The sequence below is a fragment of the Homo sapiens genome, chromosome 18, assembly GCF_000001405.40.
Source record: "Homo sapiens chromosome 18, GRCh38.p14 Primary Assembly".
NCBI lineage: Eukaryota > Metazoa > Chordata > Mammalia > Primates > Hominidae > Homo > Homo sapiens.
In genome coordinates this window covers 1361410-1379607 of record NC_000018.10, presented here as the reverse complement: position 1 = coordinate 1379607, position 18198 = coordinate 1361410, and the positions used below count along the sequence as shown (strand labels likewise).

At 38.7% G+C, this 18198-nt stretch overlaps 1 long non-coding RNA gene and 1 pseudogene across 2 annotated transcripts in view, besides 1 other annotated feature; both read left to right on the top strand.

Moving 5' to 3' along the window:
- Positions 1-15978, top strand: part of LOC105371954 (uncharacterized) — a 29080-nt gene extending 13102 nt beyond the window's left edge. The window contains exons 2-4 of one of the 2 annotated variants that reach the window (XR_007066438.1): positions 11011-11123; positions 13147-13318; positions 13422-15978. This is a non-coding gene — a long non-coding RNA (uncharacterized LOC105371954). Of the gene's footprint in view, positions 1-11010; positions 11124-13146 lie in introns of both variants that reach the window. The other variant, XR_007066437.1, reaches the window with a different exon arrangement.
- Positions 10375-10593: a silencer, noted in NCBI's record as "fragment chr18:1369016-1369234 (GRCh37/hg19 assembly coordinates)". NCBI's record gives its function as "represses an EF-1alpha promoter that drives an FKBP-Casp9 reporter gene in an ReSE screen in HepG2 liver carcinoma cells {active_cell/tissue: HepG2}" and the evidence as "EXISTENCE:reporter gene assay evidence [ECO:0000049][PMID:32094911]".
- On the top strand, positions 15665-17365 carry LOC100129774 (ATPase family AAA domain containing 1 pseudogene; annotated as a pseudogene).
- The last annotated feature ends 833 nt before the right edge of the window (positions 17366-18198 follow it).

Sequence of the window (18198 nt, the reverse complement as noted above, 5' to 3'; positions counted from 1 at the left end):
ATTGTGCAACACCCTAGAGTGGCTCTCCATTGCCCTTTGAAAATAAAAGCCACAACCTTAGAATCATCCATAAAATTTACATATCTGACCCCATTACCTCTCTGACTTCATCTTCTACCATCTTTGCCCTTCACTCACTTCTCTTTCATTACACTGGCCTCCTTGATGTTCCTCAATTACACCATTCTTGAGAGAACCTTGGGATTTTTGCATTAGTTCTGCTCTCTTTCCCAAATGTTCTCTCCCAAGTCACCACATGACTAAATCCTCCAACTTACTGGTTATTTGCTTACAAAGTTCTGTAATGGTTAATTTTCTGTGTCAATTTGGGTGGGCTAAATATGATCAAATATTAGTCTGGATGTTTCTAAGAGGGTATTTTTGGATGAGACTAAAATTTAAATTGGTGGACTTTGAGTAAAGCAGATTGCTTTCCTTAATCTGAGTGTGCCTCATTCAATCAGCTGAAGGCTTGAACAGAATAAAAGACTGACTTCTCCCTAGTAAGAGGGAATTCTGAAGCATCAACCCTTCCTGGGTCTCCAGCCCACTGGCGCACTCTGCAGATAAGAGTTTTGCCAGCCTTTATAATCTCAAGCCAATTCCTTAAAATGCATCCTTCTCTCTCTCATAAATACATATACACACACATACATTTACATATGTACATATATACATCCCATTTTTTTCTTTTTCTGTAAAGAACTTTGAACACAAGCTCCTTCCCAGAGTTTCCTACTCTGACAATTCTGTTTAAAATTATAGCACTCTCCTCTAATTCCATTGTCCCCTATCCTGCTATATATGTACCATTTCAATTCTTGTTTTGCTGAATTATCTACGTCTCTGTCTGTCTGTCTATCTATCTATCTATCATGTATCATGTTTATTTACTACATACCCCCTCCCACTTGAATATTAGTTCGATGAGAGCAGGGATTTTTGTCTGTTTTATTTACTGTAGATCCGCACCATCTACAAATGGGCTTGGCAGGTAAGAAACTTAATAAATATTTTTGACTGATTGATTGAAAATAAAAATATACATGAATTTTGAAAACTTGATATTGCACTCAAAAAACAAGTCAAAAGAATACTTACAATGTGATTTAATTTCTATAAAGATTAGAGACATTAAAATACAAAACATTTATAGAAACATTTGCAATAAAATATTTTTAGAAGAAATGCTTTTCATCTAGAAGTGAACAAGGAGAACCCATTTGGAGACCTCAAGTTACTGCCTCTTAAGCCTGGTTGTGAGGACATAGTTGGTAATTTTATTATTATTCTTTAAACTGCACATAAACATAGTATATACGTTTTGGCATATATAAGTTCTATCCTAATAAAAATAAAGAACAAACTAAACAAATTATATTTCTTGTACACTTGAGTTTCTGAGATGAATTTATACCCATGCAGTGCTTTTTGATATAAACAAGTGCTGCTTTTGTAATTTCATTTGATCCTCAAAATCTCCTGTCTCCAGTCTATAGACGTGGAAGCTGGAATCAGAAGTGAAATGACTTACTCAAGTCATAAGGCTAGTCACTAAGAGATCCAGGAATACAACTTGGCTCTGCTGATTTCAGAGATTTGGACTGGAAAGTACAGTGATATTTTACACCTCTGTGTAAAGACACTAGATTCACAAAGGGTGTAAAATGTATTCAGTCACTTTGAGAATTTTCAAAGCAACTTGACATTAATTTATGTCATTAATTAATCATATTGACTCTTATTTTCAGGCATAAAATACTGGCCATCACATGATGTTGACCTGAAATTTAAATCCAAGCTTCTACCTAGGTATTTAAAAGCCCCATGATAGACACCTCTCTGTAGCAACAGAGCTTTTCTCTTTCTTTTGCCTATTAAACTTCCGCTCTTAACCTCAAAAAAAAAAAAAAAAAAAAAAGTCCCATTGGAGGCCGGGCACTGTGACTCATGCCTGTAATCCCAGCACTTTGGGAGGCCGAGGCGGGTGGATCACCTGAGGTCAGGGGTTCAAGACCAGCCTGGCCAACATAGTGAAATCCTGTCTCTACTAAAAATACAAAAATTAGCTGGGCAAGGTGGTGGGCGCCTGTAAAAAAATAAAAATAAATAAAATAAAAGCCCCATGATATGACTACAACCTTCATCATCTCATCTTCTACATTCTACCACAGTTACGCAGGAGTATTTTGAGAGCATAAGAAGTCCTTTTATATTATGTTTCCCTTGTCGTGATTATACTTTTATCCTAAAATACCATCCTACCTTCTTCTTGCTTATTAGACAATTGGCTCTCCCTTGAAGACAGCTTAAACTCTCCTACCTCCACATAAGCCATCTCCAAAATCCCAATTTGGAATTAATTGCTACCTTCTTGGTGCAACCGTTATGGGTGTTGAGATTTTTATTAGAACAACACTTTTATTCTGTCTTGTACTATATTTTGTGCTCTATACTGAATTATAAGTTACTCAAGAAAATAGAGTCTGTCTGGCCAGGCACATTGGCTCATGCCTGTAAACCCAGCACTTTAGGAGGCCAAGGTGGGAAGACCACTTGAGGTCAGGAGTTTGAGACCAGCCTGGCCAACATGGTGAAACCCCATCTCTACTAAAAGTACAAAAATTAGCCAGGCATGGTGGCAGGCACCTGTAGTCCCAGCTACTCAGGAGGCTGAGGCAGCAGAATCTCTTGAACCCAGGAAGTGGAGGTTACAGTGAGCCAAGATTGCGCCACTGTACTCCAGCATGGGTGACAGGTGAGACTCTATCTCCAAAAAAAAAAGGAGAGAGAGTTCTAAGTGCATTTTTATTCACCATCAAGTAACATAATGGCATAGTATATTACTTCAATAACTGCTTAAATAAATTTAGTAGTGCACTCAAATAAAAAAATTCCTCAATGAGTTTCATCTACATGAAATCTTAATCAGTTTTTCTTAAGTTCTGCAAACTAATTTAAAAGATAATTTACTGATACTTTTTTTTTTACTTGAAAATACAATCATGTAAATAGCATGGCATTCAATCCTATCATGATCATTATTATTACTGTTATTGATCATAATGGTGGTTAAGGGTTTATTTTTGAGTCTACAAAATCCAAGCAAGAGTGTTTGCTCATGGAGGGAGAAATCAACATCTTATCTCACTGCTGCTATAGAGTAGGCACAGATAAGAGTGTCAGGTCTGACCAGTAGTACTACTAATTTAATTCTTCATTAGTTATACAGTATTCCAGGTGTACTGAGACAGCCAAGAGGTTGTGAATCAAATCTGGTAATCTCATTCTTTGTATGTACAGGCACGTTTTCAGCAGCAGGGCAAGAGTCCACATAAATGAATCTATTGATCTTTTTCAAAATTCGACTACAAACCAATTTAGAATCAGATTTATTAGATGTCAAGTGCAGCAGTTGTAGCAAGATCAGTGACATAATTGGGCACTGTTGAGTATTAGGAAGAAAATGAGAGGGTATTTTTTTTCCTGTTAAAGAGTAAGAAATGCTAGTTGAATACCAATAATTTGGTTGCTCATGAAAGTACAAGTCACATTAATATTTAAGTCTTTTAATGATCTCTAAATTCTGCCCATTTGGCACTGAGACCATCTGACAGATTATGTAATAAACCACTCCCAAGGAAGTCTTCCTTAAAAACTTTTCATTTAGATATGGCACTCATACTCTCTTCCATAAGTATCATACTGATTTTTCACTACCTGTCTAAATAAAATCTCATGTTAAACATTTCCTCTAGGAGAATATTCAAGCTAGAAGAAAACAAAATCCAATTAAATTGATATTTATGAAACGGTGTCATTAGAAAAAAATAAGTAGTTGTTTATATGGTCAAATTAAAGACAAATGCACATAGGCTAAACTTGCCTTCCATTGCTGCATACACCAACCCTGCAGTCAGCTTCTCGCACGGAAAGAAATGTGAGTTGTCAATCACTTTCATCTTAACCATTTTCAGAATGAGGACTTAGTGATTCATACACTTTTTTAGCTTGTTCTAGTGCCCTATAAGTTACTATACATTTCAAAAGACCTCAATAAGAACCGCATTCAACAATTATTTCAATATTTCTGCTTTTACTTACCAGCCAGTCTCTATTTTTTCTAAATATTTTACCCTTTGTGGATATATCACATTAAAGATTGTGAATCTAATATCTGCAATAAAAATCTCTTAATTCTATGTGACCTCTAATTTCCTACTTTTCCTCAGCAGCTAAGCCTCAGCAGAGCAGTTCATGCTTGCTGCCTTGTCTATTTCCCCACTTCTCTTTTATTTCTTCTTTACTTTTCCCTTAAATTTGCTACGACAGTAGTGACCCTTCATTTGAACTATCCCAAAGGACACTCGGCAGTTCTGATCTGCTGCCTGTCTTGGCCACATTATAATTTTGATCCCTCTCTCCTAAAGTCTCCACTCCCTTGGCTTTCGCAGCCTGCTCTGGTGCGCCCACTTATTCCAGACCAATCCCTCGCTTTCTTTCACAAACTCTTCCTCAGATGTCTGCCAATGGGATATAAGAAAACTGGTTTATGATACTGCCAGGGATATCCTTGGAGGAAGGGGACATCATGTTTGTCCTCATCTCTTCCCACTAGATAGGATGTAGATGTGATATCTGAAGGTCGAGGAGCCATCTTGGCCCCTGAGGTTGATCCATGTGTTGAGAATGGAGAATTAACAAGATAAAAACATCATTGATAATAATGTAGCTGCTCTACCAGCCTTGAATTGATTATGTTTTTTGTTATGTTTTGCCATCTTGGGGACCTTGCTGGCCTGGGAAAGACTGCTCCTTTCAGGTCTAACAAATTCCTAGAAATACTAAACAATTCACCTGCTAGCACGCCTTTCACATGCAAACCAACTAATCCTGAGTTTATACCTCCAACCACCTCCTTTATCTAATTCACACAGCAAGCCAATATTCCCACTATAGTAAATCAACCCAGGGCCAGGTTCCAGACAACTAGGGACAGACCCTACGCCTGAAGACTCACTGGAATTATTCAAACTCACCAACCCTAAACTGTTTACCCTCAACTTCCCACAGAAACCCCTCTAAAGGCTGTGGACTATGCCTTCCCCTCACTCCTGCTTTGGCCTCTCTCCTGACCTATTCTGGTGCTTCCTATGTAGTCTTGCATGGCTGTGTCTCTCATTTCTAGAGGAACTGTAGCAGTAAACTTTCCTTTCACTGACATTGACTTCTCCATGTAGTCACCCAGTCACTTTTATGAACCAAGACCTGGGTACAAATCTTGTACTCCTATCTCTGAAACTTATTGATATGAGAAAGACATAAATGTTCATCTTATTGAAATTACTGTTACTTTTGGCCAGGCATGAGGGCTTATGCCTGTAATCCCAGCAGTTTGGGAGCCAAGCTAGGAGGATCACGTCAGTCTAGGAGTTCGAGGCTGCAGTGAGCCATGATCATGCCACTGTACTTCAGCCTGTGAGAACTTGACTCAAAAAAAAAAAAAAAAGGAAAGGCTGTTATTTTCAGTTTCCTATCATGTATAGTCAAATATTGTAATATACACATACATCACTAGTATATTCCACAAACTCCTCAAATACAGCATGTTCAAATAGTGCCCAATACTCCATCCCCTCGAATGCACCCTTACTCTTATTCTTTCTTTTTCAAATAATGTTACTGTGATCTACCCATAGGAATCCAGATCACAAACCTGAGAATCATCCTAGAATCCTTCTCTACCTTTATGCTCCAATTCAACAAATACCTAGGGCTTTTTCATTTTACCCCATTCTCTAAATATTTCTTAAGTATATCCTTCTCCTCTTTATATATGAACTACCTCTGACTTGCACTTCTTTCTTGTACTAATAAATAACACTTAGAATAAAATACAAATGTTCTATTATGGCCTAATGTCCCCCTGCATGACCTTACTCTTCTACTTTTACAACCATACCTTTCTCTACTATCTTCTACCCTCCTTACCCTCTAGGCACTATGCCATCCCTTTCTGTTTCTTGGAGATATTGATCTGATTTCTGTTTCAGAGCCTTTATACCAGCTGTTCACTCTGCATGGAGAACTAATCCTTTCCCCAGGCTTCTCACATGGCTGGTTTCTCCCTCTTCAAATCTGAGTAAATGTCAGCTCCTCAAAAGGCTTTCCCCGATCACCCTATATAAATCCCCCTGTAGCACACACAGATACACAGCTATTCTCTCTCACACTATTACACTTATTTTCTTTATCGCATTTATCACATCTGGAATTATCTTGTTTGCGTGTTGTTTACTTGTTTGTTGTTCATCTCCCTCATGAGATAGCAAGCAGATTAAGATAGATTTCATCCATTCCTTCATTCCTACGTCCTTTTTGCCAAGCATATAGGAAGTGCTTAAAATATGTGTTGAATAAATGAATGAATGGTCTCTCTGTTTCTAATCTGGGTCCCCCTTTTTGGACCTATCCTTCTCACTGATGCCAGAATGGTCTAGACAGAATCTAACTATGAAACAATGCTAACAAAAACTTTTCAAGGCACTACCAGGTGTTCCCAAACTTTAGTGTGCTAAGAAACACCTTGAAGTATTCAAAATATAGATTCCCAGGCCCTCTCTTAAGAGATTGTGATTTGGTACATCTGGCTTAGTGTCTAAGAAAATGCATTAAATGTATTTTTAACAAGCATTCTAGGTGATTCTGAGGCAGGTGGTTTATGAAACATGCAGAATAAAATTCACATTACTTACACTGGCCTACAAGGACTTCTATCACCAGGTATTTACCTGGCCCTGGGTCCATTTCCTGCCATGTCCCACCTGAGCTTTTTGTTCAAGTTTTGCTGAGATGCAGATGTTCTTCTAAAGCACCCGATTATTTCTTGTACCTGAGCTTTTACTTCTGTTGTTCCTAGTTCACTGAGCTGCCTCTACCATTCCATAAGAGTCATCCTTTCCAGAAATATTTCCTAAAATCCTAAAAAGGACTCAATACAGCTAGATAGACAAGAGGCTCTTGTTTTCTTGCCTTTATTATTTTTTTTTTTTAGATGGAGTCTTGCTCTGTCACCCAGGCTGGAGTGCAGTGGTGAGATCTTGGCTCACTGCAACCTCCACCTCCCAGGTTAAAGCAATTATCCTACCTCAGCCTCCCGAGTAGCTGGGATTACAGGCACCCACCACCACGCCCGGCTAATTTTTTTATTTTTAGTAGAGGCAGGGTTTCGCCATGTTGTCCAGCCTGGTCTTGAACTCCTGAACTCAGATGATGTGCCCACCTCAGCCTCCCAAAGTGCTGGGATTACAGGCATGAGCCACCAGGCCTGGCCTGCTTTTCTTTACCTATCTATAGCAATGGAGGAAAAGATTTGAACATCTAGGACTTATAGTTCCATTTCTAACTATGATAATCTCCCTTGGGTTCAAAAATGGGATGGAAATAGGCTATTTGTAAAATGTTATGAAAATATATTGACTTTGGAGGACTCGGAATTGTTTAGTAAAGCCAAACCAATAAACAAACATCATCAGAAATTGGATCCTTTCTGTCTTTCCTCCAGTCCCATTGAAAACAGAGCCTAAGAGGAAAGCTTCTGTGCTGATATTTTATTGGGGGTGTGCAGCCTCAGAGAAGCAGAAGTGAGAGAGGGCAGTGAGCTAGAGAAGAATGAGAGAGAACTCAACATGGTGTTTTACAAAGCTGACCACAGCCTCATAATAAATGCAGCTGATTGCTCAGTCTCACAAGGCCTCTGCAATAGGCTATTTGAATGACTCCATCTTGGGATAGACCACCATGAGGAGGAAAAAAGGAGTATTTTTCTGCCAGCACCCTCTTCATCCATTTCCCATGCCCCACAAGGAGTTAAATCCTCCAGCCTTGCAGGTTGTGTTTCTTGGTTTCTCAAGACAGCTGCTGCCATAGGCAGACACAATTGAGCTTTCTTGTTAGGCAGTGCTTCAAGCATGGTGAATGGAGTGGGGCTTTGATGGGAACCACCATTTCTGCATCCTGCAGGTCTTTTGCGTTAGTGCCAGTACAGTCCTTCCCAGTATTGCTTCTGATTAATCATCTTGGCCAGGATGTGGGAGGACATTTTCAAGAACTTCAACTAATTCCTTCTATCATAATGGCTGTTACTCCATAGATAGACATACACAAGTCAGAAATTCTGCCAGCTGCTAATTTTATCTGTCCCAATTACACTTGCAGAAACTCCAGAAATAACTGCAAAATGGGCCCTGTGACTAAATGGGTATGGCGTGAAGTAAACTTGAGACAAGGGCTCAGTCTTCGGGAGACCATGATAATGTTTTGGGTTCCCTAGTATTAATGTTAATTCAGACCTCACAATGAACAATCCTGATTCCTCACTACAAAGTTATCCTGGAAAATGACATCAGGTCTGTTTAAGGAAGGATCAATGGAGTAGTCATCTCATATACTTCTAATGGCATCACAGTATCCTTCTTCAAAAAGAAGAATACCAGGCTCACCTCCAATCACAGGGCTCTGGGTTTGTTAACTAATTTAGATTTGAAAACTGAATGAAAGACCACGATTTTTCACTGCAAGAACAGACACTAAACTTCTACTTCCCAGCTGTGTTTTTTTTAAAATAACAAAATAGGGTAACATCCTAGTTGAGCTTCCCATCTATCTCACTGCTCAGAGTCCCACGATCCGTTAGCTCTCATCATAGCTCTCTGTAACTCCGGGCACCATTTTCATCATTCCAGTCTTGCTGACTACCATGGTTGTTATGTTCACCTTTCCTCTGACAGTTCAGTGCCTCTGCCTGGCTTCTGCAAGTTTGTAAGCTGGGGGATAGAATGGTGAGTTATTGTTTAATGGGTACAGTGTTTCAGTTTCGGATGATGAAAAGAGTTCTGGAGCTGAGTGCTGGTGGTGGTTGCACACAGTGTGAATGTACTTAATGCCACAGAACTTATACTTTAAAAAAGTGAAAATGATAAATTTTACATGCGTACTTACCGCAATAAAAAAGCAATCCAATCCAAAATTATTATCCTTATAAGTATCATTAAAAGCACAACAGCCATGTAATACCAAGTGTGATTTCCTGTACCTCATGGAGCCTAGTTATAATAGCTGCTTTCAAATCATCATCTGATAGTTGACACATTGGGTCATTTCATGGGTGTGTGTGTGTGTGTGTGTGTGTGTGTGTGTGTGTGTGTGTGTCTTGCTTTCCCTTGGGAATTGGTCACAGTTTTCTGATTCTTTGAATTTTAAGTAATTTTGAGTTGCTTTTTAAAACATTGTGAGCATTATGCTGCAAAGGCTGAGTCCTGTTATAAACTTATAGAGAATGCTGAAGTTTGTATTTTTGTTTGTTTGTTTGTTTTTTGGAAATGGAGTCTCGCTCTGTCAACCAGGCTGGAGTACAGTGGCACAATCTCAGCTCACTGCAACCTCCACCTCCCAGGTTCAAGCGATTCTCCTGTCTCAGCCTCCCGAGTAGCTGGGATTACAGGTGCCCACAACCATGCTCGGCTAATTTTTGTATTTTTAGTAGAGCTGGGGTTTTACCATGTTGGCCAGGTTGGTCTCGAACTCCTGACCTCAGGTGATTTGCCCGCCTCAGCCTCCCAAAGTGCTGGGATTACAGGTGTGAGCCACTGTGCCCAGCCTGTATTTTAGAAGGCATTCAACCTGTTTAGGTTTACACATTATAGTATTTTCCTTCTGTAAGGGTAGTTTTAATTTCCATTGACTTCCTTCGGTCTCTGCAACATTGGTTTGGGTCTGTTCCATGCACGTGCTATTCAGGAGACTTGTGCAGGTGGTTCAGATTTCATTTAAGTTCCCGAAGCCTTGGCTATACATCTTTGATTGTGCCTCATGCATGCATATCTCAAGGTTTAGTCTAAAATTAGTTCTGGTTAATACACAGAAGTAGGAGAACCCTTTCCTGTCTTTCTTCCCTGTAGAATTTCTCCCCAAATTCTCTGACCCACTGAAGCTCCCTTCTCTGGTTTCTCTGGCCAAAAACAAACAAACAAACAAAAAGTTAAATTTATATCAGTTTCAGCTACATGTGCCACGTGCAACTCAATGGCTGAGGCCTGCCCTCAGGGTAAGACTGTGAGAGAAAAGATAAACAGGAAACCCCACTTCCAAACATTTCACTTCTCCAAGCTGTGATTCCCCTCCAAAATCCTGTGCTTTCATTTAGTTTTTGGAGTCCTCACGTTGCTGTTTATTTTGTTTTCAGTTTCTAGTTGTCAATGGCAGGTGAGACAGCTGGGGTGGGCTTACACCACCACAGCAGTAGCAGGATGCTCCTCCCTCCTTATTTGTTTGCTAAGATATCAGGAAGGCTCAGCCAGGAAATAAAAGAACCACTTCAGTTTTTTCAAACGCAAGGATATCATTATAAGCAAATTGGGTTTTCAGGTGATGGAAGGTCTGAGAGGCTAAAAAGAGACAGCAAATCAACACAGAGATTGACAACAGCTGGAAGCTGCCACCAACCCTCATGCTAGAGGGACAATGGAAGATTTTGTTATTAGAGGCCAGATGTCAGGCTCTCTGGCAGGAGCTAGAACACTGGAATACGCACTGGTGGGACCAAGGTGGGAGGAACTCAGTTAGGCTTGGAGCTACCGAGAAGACAATTCACAACCAGAGATGCTATAAGAGGCATCTGACTAGGGGTAGAATATCCTGGCTTCTCCCATCATTCTCGTCTTCCAGTCTACCACCAGTAACTCCCATTAAGCAAACCTATCTGGAAGCTAGAGTGCAAGACAGCCAGAGAAATGAGTTTCCCTAATTTAGAGAGCAAAGCAGGAAAAGGCAGGTGCTATGGTTTGCATGTCTCCCATCTAAAATTCAGGTGTTGCCAATATGCTAATATTAAGAGGCAAGGCCTTTAAGAGGTGATAGGGCCATGAAGATTCCTCCCTTATGAATGGGATTAAGTCTCTTACAAAAGAGGCCTCAGACACTCTTCACCCCTTTTGACTTTCTGCCCCACAGTTTACCATCAGAGGACACAGCAGCAAGGTGCCATCCTAGAAGCAGAGAGCAGACCCTTACCAGACAACCAACCAGCTGGTGCCATGATCTTGGACTTCTCGGCCTCCAGAACTGTGAGAAATAAATTTCTATATTCTATAAATTACCCATTCTGTAGTGTCTTGTAATAGTAGCACAAATAGACTAAGACTGTAAGAAAATGGATTTGGGTCAAACAAGCATTTGAGTGGCGCATTAAAGAATTCTCAAATAAACCCGATATTTTTTGCCCATAAATAGTAGTACTTTACATCTTAAGATGCATTTTAAAAAACGAAAATTTAGATAAAACAACAAATAGCGTCAGTTTTCTACATGGCTAATATCTGGCAGAAATCTAGGAATGGCTAACATTTGAAATGATTATTTCTTAAGATGCGATCTGTGTTCTCTAACTCCAATTCTTGGTATGAGAGAGAGAGGAGCCATCCATTGTTCTTTCCACATTTTGATTTCCAACTGAGATCAAAACACATTGATCAAAGCCAGGAACCAAGAGCCAAAGGTGAAAGAATCCACAAACTCAGATACATGAGGACATACTGAGTAAGATGGAGAAAATGGGTTCCTCTTCCTATATAAAAAGCCAGTCTGACAATCTAAGAGTTGCACTTTACAAGGAAATGAGCTCATACTTCAACATTATAACACCTGATAGAGTGTTGATTTATTTTAACCCATAGAGATTTAATAGGAAAATAGTTTAGGACAGCTGTCAATACATACCCTCTAGCATGCCTCAGATCATTTTCTCTAAAGGAAAATATATCTTGGGTTCTTAGAAGAAAATTCAAAATAAATTTGTCAATAAAAAAATCTTCTAAACACTTCCTTTTGTCATACTCAACCTAAAATATTTTATGGTTCTATTTTCATGAGATATTTAAATTCAAATTTTTCTTATTTATAATATAATCATTTGCATGTAAGCAACATCAAAAACTATTTTTTAAAGCAGGTTTTGTACAGGTTATTTCAACAAGAACTCAATTTTTCTTGATAAAAAAATGAAAATTTAAAATGCCACGGAAATTTTTGTGTTTTCATTATATCCTTTCCATATCCTCCAATGCAAATGTTATAAATCAGCCTATAAGTGGAGGTCTATTCTTAAACTAACATCTCATTTGTTTGAGCTAAAAGCCAAATACTTTAACTCATTTACCCATGAAAATTTTTGTTTCACATGTAAAGTAAAACAAACACAGGGGCAAACCTTTATAACATTTATTATAGAGGAGAAAGAGAGTAGGATAGTTAAGAATATATTTCTTCTGAGAGAGATTTCATCTGTGTAGTTTTTAGACCAGTCAACTGCTGCATAAAGTTTCCAAATATGCCAGTGCTTCTCAAAGTCCCCAGTCTCAGTGAAGGCAACATAGGTTCACATATGGGGCAGTCCCATGGTCAGTCCCTGATTTGGCCAGGAAGTGGCATAATGGGAGCTAGTTCTCCATTAACTAGTTCTAACTTCACCTTTTATCACAACTGAGCCCCCACGACCCAAAGAACAGCCTGGATGAGAAGTATGTGATAGTTTCTTCTTAAAGAATATATTTCCCCTTAGACAAAAAAAAAAAAAAAGTTATAATGTTCAAACTGAAAACAATACATGTATCCCTTTTCAGCTATGTGTGGCATATATACACCTGGGTAAGCATAAATAGTGTAGAAAGCACTCCTAGCTGACATTTTAACATTCCCAGGAAAGTACATAAACTTGCTTCCGTGCCTTCTCGGAAATAGGATGGCCAATATAGTGCTTTGTACAGGTTCATTTTTCAGTTTTATCACACATAGGAAATGGCCTTACCACTGAAAAATACTCTTTGGATGTAAAACTATCCAAAAAACAATTCATGCTATTCACAAATGAGAAAAGTGTGGAGGTCAATAGTTAAGCTGCAATTGCTCCATTAAAGTTTTCTCAACCGCACACAGACAAGTGTGGAGGGAGAGAAGGAGGAAGAGGGATGGAGGGAAAGGGAAAAAAAGGAGAAAGAGCTACAGGAGAGATGGAGGAAGAGACAGGATTTAAACCATGTATGCCTTTGTCCTTGCAATCTTAGTTCTATTTTATGTTGATATCTCCTACAGCTAATTATGTTACTTCTGTTTCACATGGATCTCATATAGAAAATGCACAAGTGTTTAAGAACAGAATATAATGATGAAGGAATATCAATAAGTATATTTTTTGCATTGGTTATATTAGTCAAACATGGCATTACAAAAGGAGTGTCTAATCTTCCCCAGATGTCATTATAAGGTAAAGTTCTTACATATTATTATCAGCATCAGTAAAATTTGATAAATTTCTATTTGACTGACAGAAATACAGATTTATCTTTGTTCCATGCCACTCCTGATAGACATTTACCTCCACCTTGGAAGAATACAAAGGACTCCACTTAAAAGGCAAATCAAGCCAAACCTTATAAAGACAAGCCACAGACTTCAGGTTACATGTTTTGAGTTCTGCACAAAATATTTGAATGGGTGCTTCATAAAAGATGATATATGAGGACTTGGGGCAGAACAAGATGGCAGAATAGAAGGCTCCGCCAATTGTCCCTGCTTCAAGGACACCAATTTAACAACTAACTACATAAAATAGCACCTTTATAAGAACCAAAAATCAGGTGAGTACCTGGCTTTAACTTCGTATTACTAAAAGAGGCACTGAAGAGGCAGGAAAAACCGTCTTGAATTGCTGACATCACACCTCCTCTCTCCCGCAGCAGCAGTGGCATGGTGCAGAGAACATTTTTGTGTGCTGGGGAGAAGGAGATCACAGTATTTGTGAGGCATTGAACTCAGTGCTGCCTTATTATAACAGAAAACAAAATTGGACCAATCTATTCATGAATTGGAAAAATCAATATTGCTAAAATGTCCATACTACCCAAAGCAATCTACAGATTTAATGCAATCCCTATCAAAATGCCAATGACATTATTCACAGAAATAGAAAAACACTCTAAAACGTATGTGGAACCACAAAACACCCAGAATAGCCAAAGCTATACTAAGCAAAAAAAAAAAACAACAAAAAAAAACTGTAGGAATCACTTACCTGACTATAAATTACACTACACAGCTAAGGTAACCAAAAAGGCATGGTACCCACATAAATAAAAACAGACACATAGATCACTGAAACTGAATAGAGGATCCAGAGGTAAATCCATACATACATCTACAGTGAACTCATTTTTGACGAAGTAGCCATGAACATACATTGTGGAAAGGACAATCTCTCCAATAAATGATGCCGGGCAAGCTGGACATCTATATGCAAAAGAACAAAACTAGATTCCTATCTCTGAACAGATACAAAAATCAAATCAAAATGGATTAAAGATTGAAATATAAGATCTCAAATGATGTAACTACTACATGAAAACATTAGGGAATCTCCCCAGAACATTGGCCTGGGCAAAGGTTTCTTAAGTAATAAACACTTCACAAGCACAGGCAACCCAAAACAAAAATTGACAAATGGGATCATACCAAGTTCCAAAGCTTCTGCACAGCAAAAAAAAAATAATAATAATAATTAACAAAGATAAAAGCCACAGAACAGGAGAAAATACTAATTTATATTCCCATCTTGCAAACTACCCATCTGACAAAAGGTTAATAACCAGAATACATAAGGAGCTCAAACAACAGTGTAGGAAAAACATCTAGTAATCCTTTTTTAAAAAAAATGGGCAAAAAATCTGAATAGACATTTCTCGAAAGAAGACAGGTATATGAAAAGGTGCTCAACATCATTGCTCATCAGAGAAATGCAAATCAAAACTGCAATAAGATATTATCTCACCCCAGGTAGAATGGCTTTTATCTAATGTCTGGCAATAACAAATGCTGACGAGGATGGAGAGAAAAGGAAAGCCTCGTACATTGTTAGTGGGAATATAAATTAGTACAACCACTGTGGAGAACAGTTTGGAGGTTCCCAAAAAACTAAAAATAGAGCCACTGTACTATCCAGCAATCCTGCTGCTGGGTATATACCCCAAATAAAAGAAATCGACATATCAAAGAATAGTTGTAGCACTGTTCACAATAGCCAAAATTTGGAAGCAATGTAAGTGTTCATCAACAGATGAATGAATAAAGAAAATGTGGTTCATATACACAATGGAGCACTAATCAGCCATAAAGAAGAATGAGATTCTGTTTTTTGCAACAAAATGGATGGAACTGGAGGTCATTTTGTTAAGTGAACTAAGCTAGACAGAGAAGGACAAACCTTAAATGTTCTCACTGATTTGTGGAAGGTAAAAAGGAAAGTAGTTGAACTCATGGAGATAAGAGTAGAAGGATGGTTAACAGAGATTGGGAAGGGTAGTCAGGGAGTGTGGGGGAAGTAGCGATGGTTAATCAGCACAAAAACATTGTTAGAAAGAATGAATAAGACCTAGTATTTGCTAGCACAACCGTGTGACTATAGTCAAAAATAATTTGATTGTACATTTTAAAATAACTAAAATAGCACAATTGGATCATTTGTAACACAAAAGATCAATACCTGAGGTGATAGGTACCCCAATTACTCCGATGTGACTATTATGCATTGCATGCCTGTTTTGAAATATCTCCTGTATTTCCTTCCTGTGCGAGGCCAGCTGAGGGCACTTGCTCCCGTTGTTTCTGCTCCTGGGTTAACAATCAAGATGGTACATGCTGATGCCTTTTCTCATCCTTTGAGTCACAATGAAGTTGTTGGTTTAATTTTCCATTTGACAATATTTGGTTCAGTAACATACTTTAGTATCAAATGGATGGTAGATGCAATTGATCCAATCAGAAAGCAAAAAGCAGAAGCTCAGAAACAGGCAGAAAAACTAATGAAGCTAATTGGTGTGAAAAACGTGAAGCTCTCAGAATATGAAATGAGTGTTGCTGCCCACCAGTAGACCATCTTTTCTTTTCTTTTCTTTTTTTTTTTGAGACAGAGTCTTGCTCTGTCACCAGGCTGGAGTGCAATGGCATGATCTCGGCTCACTGCAACCTCTGCCTCCCGGGTTCAAGCGATTCTCCTGCCTCAGCCTCCTGAGTAGCTGGGATTACAGATGTGCGCCACTACGCCCAGCTAATTTTTGTATTTTTGTAGAGATGGGGTTTCACCATGTTGGGCAGGATGGTCTTGATCTCTTGACCTCGTGATCCACCCGCCTCAGCCTCCCAAAGTGCTGGGATTACAGGCATAGAGCCACCGCGCCCAGCCTAGTAGACCCTCTTAATATGCATGTTACTTGGAAGTGATATAGCAGGTTTAGATGAGGTCATTACGGATCTGAAAGACAGTCATCTTACCTATCAAAAAGAAACATTTGTTTGAGAATTCCAGGCTTCTGCAGCCTCCAAAAGGTGTTCTTCTCTATGAGCCTCCCCAGGCTGTGGTAAAACGTTGATTGCCAAGGCCACAGCCAAAGAAGCAGGCTGTCGATTTATTAACCTTGAGCCTTCGACACTGACCAATAAGTGGTATGGAGAATCTCAAACACTGGCTGCTGCTGTCTTCTCCCTTGCCATAAAGCTACAACTGTCCATCATCATTATAGACGAAATAGACTCCTTTGTACGAAACCGTTCAGAGTTCTGACCATGAAGCTACAGCCATAATGAAAGCTCAGTTTATGAGTCTCTGGGATGGACTGGACACTGATCACCGCTGCCAGGTCATAGTAATGGGAGCTACCATTCATCCTCAGGACATTGACACGGCTATAACGAGAAGAATTCCTACAAGATTTCACATCAACCAGCCTGCTTTAAAACAGAAAGAAGCAATCCTGAAACTCATCTTGAAAAATGAAAATGTGGATAGGCATGTAGACCTGCTAGAAGTTGCCCAGGAAACTGATGCGTTTTCAGGAAGGGACCTAAATGCGATGTGTTGAGATGCTGCCCTCCTCTGTGTTAGAGAATGTTAATTCTACATCAGAAGAAAGCCATGATGAAGATGAAATTCGGCCTGTTCAACAGCAGGACCTGCATCGGGCAATTGAAAAGATTAAGAAATCGAAGGATGCAGCATTGAAAAAATTAAGAAATCAAAGGATGCAGCATTTCAGAATGTTTTAACACAGGTTTGTTTAGATTAAGAGTGAAGATCATTTGCACAGTTCACTGATCTAGTTTGGTGTGTCCTCTTATCCGTTAGTGGAAGTAGAATGGAAAGAGTGCTCTTTAAACAATGAGGGAGTTCAGTGTTTATGGTTTTGTACTCTGAATTCTAAGTTGTTGAGATACAGTTGTTATATAAGTGGCATTACTGTTTGTCAGAAATCATGAGGAGGAACAATTTAATCCAGCATGAACGTGGGTGCTTGTGTTTGAGCTCTTTAGCCATATGTCGTACAGCCTTATAGAATCTAAGCTGCTCTTACAGTCATGAATGATTCATTGGGTCATTAGTGAGAAATAGGGATGTGGTTAGGCACTGTTTCCTTGACATGTGAGTATGTGTTTGTGTGTGTGCACATATGTGTGTATATTAAATGTATATATCCACACATTTTATATGGACATTCTGTAGATATGTTTGAATACAGAAATTTTTTTTATCCTAACTACTGAATCCAGAAGTACCGAATAATATACAGTAAAACTAAGATTTAAGATTGTGTCAAAAAGGTACAGTGATTCAACCATTTCCATTTGTCATTTGTTTCAACCTTTTTTAAGTTGAGTGTTTTTCTTTCTGCAGTTGATTAATTGGATCCTCCACCTTGCATATATACATCTTGCATATATATACACGGGCTCAATTATTAGATTTGTCAGGATAATCAAATAAAAATACCAGGTCAGTGATCAGCATTGAATGGTTGTTAGACAGTCATGTCAGTCAACACTGATTTCACCTCTTTCTGTAAGCATACTGAGTAAAAACTTTTTTTCAGTTTAAATTGATTTACGTGAAAGTGGATTAAAAGGCCTTTCAAAAGAATGGGTTTGAAAAACCTCAGTCCGCTTTAATACACGTACATTTCTTTCCTTTCTTCATTTAATGTAACATATGTCTGTTGTAACTACGTTTCTTAAATATTATTTTAAGGTTATATGTTCTTTAATTATGCTCCAACATAATTTGGTCACCAAAAATGAAATAATAGTTTAAAACAAGTAGCT